The sequence below is a fragment of the Homo sapiens genome, chromosome 12, assembly GCF_000001405.40.
Source record: "Homo sapiens chromosome 12, GRCh38.p14 Primary Assembly".
NCBI classification, from domain to species: domain Eukaryota; kingdom Metazoa; phylum Chordata; class Mammalia; order Primates; family Hominidae; genus Homo; species Homo sapiens.
The window spans coordinates 97,750,732-97,757,646 of record NC_000012.12 but is presented as its reverse complement, the minus strand read 5'-3'; the positions used below and the strand labels follow the sequence as shown (position 1 = coordinate 97,757,646).

Sequence of the window (6,915 nt, the reverse complement as noted above, 5' to 3'; positions counted from 1 at the left end):
TTCAAGCCCAAAACAAAATATGCCAAGAAGCACTGAAATCATGACGCAATGCTGGAAATGATATGAGAAACTTGGGTCTCAAATAATATTTGGAAGTGAGTGCAGATAAATGCAAGCTGTAACAAATAACTTCCTGTTGAGTGATTTATGTTAAAGTACATATGAAAATAAAAAATTGAGGACTCAGATTCTGAGAAACAACCACTCAAAAGGCTAAAAATCTGTTTCCCTAACGGTCACATGGCAATGACTACACACAATTTTAATGCCATGATTCCTGAATTGTTTTTCTCCCATGTAGAGGAATAAACCTTAGGAGAAGAGAGGTTTTGAACTGAAAGGAAATTCTAAGCTGGAAAAGTGCTTGCATTTTTACAGGAGAGACACTAAGTGACTTGGCTAAAGCTGAACAGTTAATCTTATAATTTCAAAAATTTCTACTACCCCGAAGTAGAATCTTAAAGTCCAAGCCATGTCATAAATTCTCCTGTTTCTAAAGGGGTATTTGTCTTTCTTTCCTTAGAGTTAAAGTCATTTAGAATGGCTTAATAGATGGTTTTAGAAGATGTTAACTCATCCTTTATACTTCGGGGGAAGGTGGGCTCTGGAGCCTGGCCCCACTCACCTGCCCTGTGTGTTGCAACCAGAAGCTCTGCTTTAATCCTCTGTACTGGGTATCTAGGGATCCCCCAGGGTCCGTAAGAGTTCAAGTTCTCAACTTGCTATGAGGAAGGGATTTAGCAATAGGAGGCTTTGGATTATTATCTGTGGAATGAACAGAAACCCTGCCTTTGGAGAGTCACTTCCATAATTTCAAGACAAAAAGAAAAACTCAGGAGGAAAACAAGTGCTATGTTGCTTACCATAAAAATTAAACCTTTTCTAGTATTTGCTTCATGTTCAAATAACTCCAATCCTTTTGGGACCCTGATGACCTCCATGTTTGATTCAGCTTTGACTGTTCTAAGATTTAACATAATTAAGAATGAAAAGTAACTTAACTGTCCAAGATGAGGACAGTGAGATTGCCATAAGTGCTTCTTGCCAAAGAAGGCAGGCTGGTTGTGATTACACCACCTCCTCCTCATTGTCCTATTCTTATCGTGTGCTGCAGTCAGCGTCTTTGACCTATATTTGATTCCCTCTTGCAATATGTGCTTTTGATCATGAAACTGCTGAGAAAAGGCTCCTTCTAAACCACAAAACAAGGTAAGCTGTTTCTTATTTGTTTGAATATATAGGAAGCTGGTGACAACCAATTTTTTTCCTCTACATCTAAGAAATCGAAAGGTCAGGTGCTAGGAGGGATTATGGAGAGTTTATGAGGCAAACAGCCCGCCCCACCGCAGGCCTTATCAGGAACAAGCCCAGCTTTCTTTCATAAGCCTCTGGTGGGCGGCTTGTGCTCATAGCTGGCGGTCTGGGGTGCACATTGCAGTTTATCATCAAGCAGCATCTTTGAAATGCCAAACTTTATTTATTGATCTTACAATTCTATGTTATCTCCAACGAGCCACGGGAAAGGTAATACATTTTGTATGGATTAATCCTTGTAATTCTACACAACGTACACCCAGAGATAACTCAAACTTGCTTTGTCGTCTCATTACCTAAACAGACTTGTCTTTCTTTAAGTCATCAACAGAGGTCATCTCCCAAATGCCCTTGTGAAATATTCATTAATCAAATAACTAATTTGAAATGGACCTTCAAAGCATTATTCATTTCCCCATCATTCTCCTAACATCAGTTTAAATGCTTTGTGGGTATAATGATTAGGCTGATGTTTAATTAATTGTGAAATTGTGAATTAAAGCTAAGTTAAAAGATAAATCATTTTTTTAGCGCATAAGGGAGAAAGAGAGCAAGCCAGAAGGAGACAATGAGCTTGATTGGTGGTTTTAGTTGGGAATTCTTAGCAAATGTTCCTTTATTCACAGCAACATGACAGCACTGGATTGTAAGGTTAACCTTTGTGAAGTAAATCTTATTCTTCCATTCTTTCTTGATGGATTTCAGATTCATCACCACATCAATGAGAAGATGCCACAGATCATTGAGCAAATATGCAGATGTAGATATAACCTGCTATTCTCAACAAGTTTTATTGTGAACAAAGTAAAACAAAACAATTACCAAAGACTCTGTTACGGAAATCACAGCCATAGTTTTGTTTACTGTGTGTGATGATGAAAGCTTTACCTTTTTCACCCTTGAAGAAAAGGTTTGATTCCCAACTGAGGCCTTCTCTGATTCATGTCTTTAAGCCCCAAGTGTACCCTAAAATTTATTATCAGGTACATCACAATGTAATCCCAACACTTTGGGAGGCTGAGGCAGGAGAATTGCTTGAGCCCAGGAATTAAAGACAACCTCTGAGCAACATAGTGAGACCCTGTCTCTACAAAAAATAAATTAGAAAAAAATTATCCGGTTGTAGTGTTATGCCCATAGTCTCAGCTACTTGGGAGGCTGAGGTGGGAGGATAGCTTGAGCCCCGGAGATCGAGGCTGCAGTGAGCTGTGATTGCACTACTACACTCCAGCCTAGGAAACAGAGAGAGACGCTGTCAAACAAACAAACAAAAACAGTGTCAATCAACCTGCACTGTTGCTATTTTTAAACCTGTCAATTACCCCAGTTTGACTATTAACTCTTCAAATGCATGGTCCAAGTGTTACACATCCTTATTTATACAGCACGGAATTTAATGCTTGTGTTCTCCAACCAAACAGATCCTAGAGTTTTGTTTGCTCTTCTCTTTTCCTGAAGTACTCTAATTAAATAATAAACTATTGGAGAAAAGAAACTTTTTTTCCACTATGGTTGCTAAGCAATAAGACATTACTACCTAAAGAAAAACTGAGAATAAAGCCAACAAAAAAAGCAGGTGTCAGAGGTAAAGAAACAGATTCTTGATTTGAACAGCTGGATTGAGCTATTCCTGAAGCTAATGTACCCGTAGACACTTCACTTTCATTATCTAATACATGCTCTTGTTTATTTAAGATGGTTTATATTTAGTTTATTTTGTTCGGAGCCAAATAAACTTGATGAGCACAGTCATTTGCAAGTCATCCATATGTTAGTTTTGTTATTATTCACCTGCTTAGAGGACTACCTAGTTCCTTCTTCTGTGATCTGTCAATGTGGCTACATTTGCTCCCTCCAAAGGCACATCACATCTCCTCAGCCCATTGCCCACAACCATCTCTGGCTGATATGGCTGATAGAACCTGTCCTGAAGTGCTTGCTCTGCCCAGTCTTTGGTGCCTGCTAAGCCATAGTTCCGACATAACAATCTCTCAGATGCAAAGCAATATAGCATATTGGTTATGCACGGAAACTTCAGTGCACTCTACATGAATATGAATGTTAGCTCTACTACTTACTAGCCGTATAACCTCATGCAAATCATTTAACTGTGACTCAGTTTCCTCATCTGCAAATCTAGAATAATAACATTGCCTATTTCACGTGGTTGTAAATGGGATAATGTATGCAAAGTAGTTAGAATAGGCTCTGGCAAGTAGGAAGTATGCAATACACATGGCAGTTATAATTTTCACTGTGATAGAACCAGCCCTCCAATGACATACCAGAAGAATGAAAAGATTTTATATCATATCATGTGTTTTATAAAGCTCAATTGAAAGCAGGACTCTGCTGTCTTTTTTTTGACCAATCTTCCTCCCTGACTAGATAATGAGCAACTTTTGGTAGGGTAAGAGCTATGCTTTGACTTTCTGTATTTTCAGTCCAGTGATGATGATAAGAGTAGACATTAACATGTGCTTAAATTGTTAATATCCAATAAGCAATAATAATTATTAATATCAATAAACACAAACTCTGTTAATGGTGAATCAGGGTGGCTAGCGATTACTCTTTTTTTCTCTCTTCCCCAGTGAGTTTAAATTCCAGGGGACACACCCACTCTTCCTAGATAAGCTTATGCCCTAAGTATTTATCTGCTTTTCTTCCCTGGGAAACTGACTGGCCCTGAGGAAGAAACATGAATGATGTATTTATTTTTCTCCCTTAAGATATGAAGACTGGAGTGAGCCCTCATCAGCCAGATGGACTGTTTCATCTCTTCCGAAATAGAAACCTCCAACCTACTCAGCCCTTTTGAGGCCAAAAAGATACCCATGGGCCCTCAAAAACCAACAGTCTCTACACCAGACTAAAACAAGTTTCCTAAAAGCATTTTCCTTTTGGGCTCATTTTTATTACCTCTCCATCCCATGGTCCGAAGATAAGAATAATTTGCATATAACAGTCAGTATTAAAATTTTTGATTTGCAATGGATCAATGAATGACGAGGTCAGCCCATCTGTGACTGAACCAATCAATGAATGAGAAATGGGTAGGTGATATTTACTGTCTTCTCTGTTCTAAGGCCTGGAGGGTGAGGGCATTGATCTACTAGTTTGCCCTTATATATTTTCTTTGCTGGAGTTTCAACATTTCTCCCTTTCATTCTGCTGCAATTGACCAAAACTTAAATAGTCTGGGAGAGGTGGAGAAAGTAGATCTAATAGTATCACTCACATAAACTCTGGTCTCCATAGGGACATGATGAATGGCCAATAGCCTCTCCTGAATATTTCCTTGCTTCCTGCTTAGGCAAAGAAAATTCGTCCTTCTAAGTCCAAGGAAACAATTGTTTTATGTCTGATTGTTTTTTTAATAAGCCTTCACCATGACCTCCCTGCCTCCACTTATTCTAACAGGAATTGGGGGAAGGGGGAGGTCACACATGCTTGGAATGTGGTGGATGATGTGCAGCTCAGATGTCACCAACCATGATGTTTGGCTGAAGTCTGCTTATTGCTAACTTGGTGTCATGGCTGTGTAGGTAAACAAATAAAAATCAAATTCACAGGTCAACCATTCTGAACAATACCTGGCTAATTTTCCTGTTTGAAAAATTGTCAAAGCTTTTCAACTGACTTAGAAGGTATTCCTAGGTCAGCTGCTTTGACTAACAAGTGGGTATTGTGTTTTTGAATGCGTGGGATAATGGCGATAAGGTCCCTAGGCCACAGGTGCTAAGGAGTTGCCACGTGCATGCAGCGCTTCAGAGTGGCACGTCCCTTAGCAACCCATAGTGCAATTAACAAACTTCATCTCATCCTCAGCAAAACAGCTTTTTTAAAGCATGCCAAATGTAGTAAAAGTCCATTCAGAATCAAAGCCACTATCCTCTTAAGAAAATAAATGGTTAGGGAAGTCCCTTTTATTTCTCACTGTGGTTGCTCAGCTTGGGGGCTACCTAATGAGACATAGCAGTTGGTCAAATTAGGGATCCCAGACCTTTGGATGTCATGAGTCAGTAAATATTTTCTCCACCCAAAATTATGGAAAGCCAATATTGAGTCATCATCATTTTCATTTGCCAAATATAGGCCACAAAACTAGATGAAAGAAGATAAAATTACCTTCTACTGTGACCATGATTAAATACAATAAAAGCTTAACAAATACCAAAAAGGTAGAAAGGATATAATTAGGAACAAAACACATCTCTTTGCCTTGAATTAATTTGGTGTTTTAAAAAGTTCTATGTTATTTTAATTTTTCTAATATTACTGAAGAAGGATGCAAACATGACTCCCACACAGGTCTTCAGAGTAATGTCTGAAAACCTGTATTAGTCAGGGTTCTCTAAAGAGACAGAATTAATAGGATAGATTTATAGATGAAAGGGAGTTTATAAGGAGTATTGACTCACACGATCACAAGGCGAAGTCTCACAACAGGCCTTCTGCAAGCTGAAGAACAGGAAAGCCAGTCCCAGTCACAAAACTTCAAAACTAGAGAAACAAACAGAGCAGCCTTCAGTCTGTGGCCAAAGGCCTGAGAGCCCCTGGCAAACCACTGTTGGAAGTCTAAGTGTCTAAAAGCTGAAGAACTTGGAGTCTGAGGTTCGAGGGCAGGAAGCATCCAGCACAGCAGAAAGATGAAGCCAGGAAGACTCAGCAAGTCAAGTCCTTCCATGTTCTTCTGCCTAGTTTATTCTGGCTGCATTGAGAGCTGATTGGATTGTGCCCCCGCAGATTGAGGGTGGGTCTGCTTCTCCCAGTCCACTGACTCGAATATTAATCTCCTTTGGCAACACCCCCACAGACACACCCAGGAAAAATACTTTGCATCCTTCAATCCGATCAAGTTGATACTCAGTATTAACCATCACTAAACCAACTGTCTAACTTTTAGCTGTATAGGTAAAATGCTTAAGTAAACTAAGGCAAAGATAACTGTAGCAATAAATGCAAAAAGTGTTTTGAAGATCCGTTCATGTCCCTGGCATTGCTCCTCTCCCTTTCTGGTTTTTCCAGCTCTCTTGGTGCCTCCTGCTCCACATATGCAGGTCAGGTGGCACCTGTCCTCCATCAGAATGCCTTTCACTGATGGTCGGATACAGGGGCCCTCAATCACTTTCTCCATGTGCTTCTGGCTCCTCATCTATAAAAAGAATGGAAGCCAGTAGTATAACTTCCCTCTAGAATCTATTTGGTTGGGAGGCATCATGATTCCAAATGTCTTGCCATACATACATCCTCCAGAAGGCTTTTCCAGTGATTGTTCCAAGATCCTATCATTGACATTTCTGCAGCACGCCTTATGTTCTGATATCAGAAGCATTTTTTTCTTAAGAATCCAATCAATGTAGTTTTGATGAGGCTGAACTCCACAGCCCAACCTCCACCACAGCTTTGACACTTGGTCCATGAGGGGCTGACGGTAGTGGGATTTTTGTGCTATAGACCAGGGGTCCCCAGCACCTGGGCCACAGACCGATACCAGTCCATGGCCTGTTGGGAACCAGACGCACAGCAGGAAGTGAGTGGCAGACCAGTGAGCAAAGCTTCATTTGTATTTACACTCCCCATTTCTTGCATTACCAC

At 40.0% G+C, this 6,915-nt stretch overlaps 1 pseudogene across 2 annotated transcripts in view, besides 1 other annotated feature; it reads left to right on the top strand.

Moving 5' to 3' along the window:
• The first annotated feature begins 1,129 nt into the window (after positions 1–1,129).
• The window catches only part of PAFAH1B2P2 (PAFAH1B2 pseudogene 2), a 43,106-nt pseudogene continuing 37,320 nt past the window's right edge, over positions 1,130–6,915 (top strand). Inside the window, exon 1 of one of the 2 annotated variants that reach the window (NR_077240.1) lies at positions 1,130–1,209. The product of NR_077240.1 is annotated as a PAFAH1B2 pseudogene 2, transcript variant 1 (transcript). Of the gene's footprint in view, positions 1,210–4,048; positions 4,371–6,915 lie in introns of those variants that run through there. The other variant, NR_077241.1, reaches the window with a different exon arrangement.
• Positions 4,627–5,826: an enhancer, noted in NCBI's record as "CDK7 strongly-dependent group 2 enhancer chr12:98145599-98146798 (GRCh37/hg19 assembly coordinates)". NCBI's record gives its function as "activates an origin of replication core promoter dependent on BRD2, BRD4, P300/CBP, MED14 and CDK7 cofactors, with strong dependence on CDK7, by STARR-seq in HCT116 cells {active_cell/tissue: HCT116}" and the evidence as "EXISTENCE:reporter gene assay evidence [ECO:0000049][PMID:35650434]".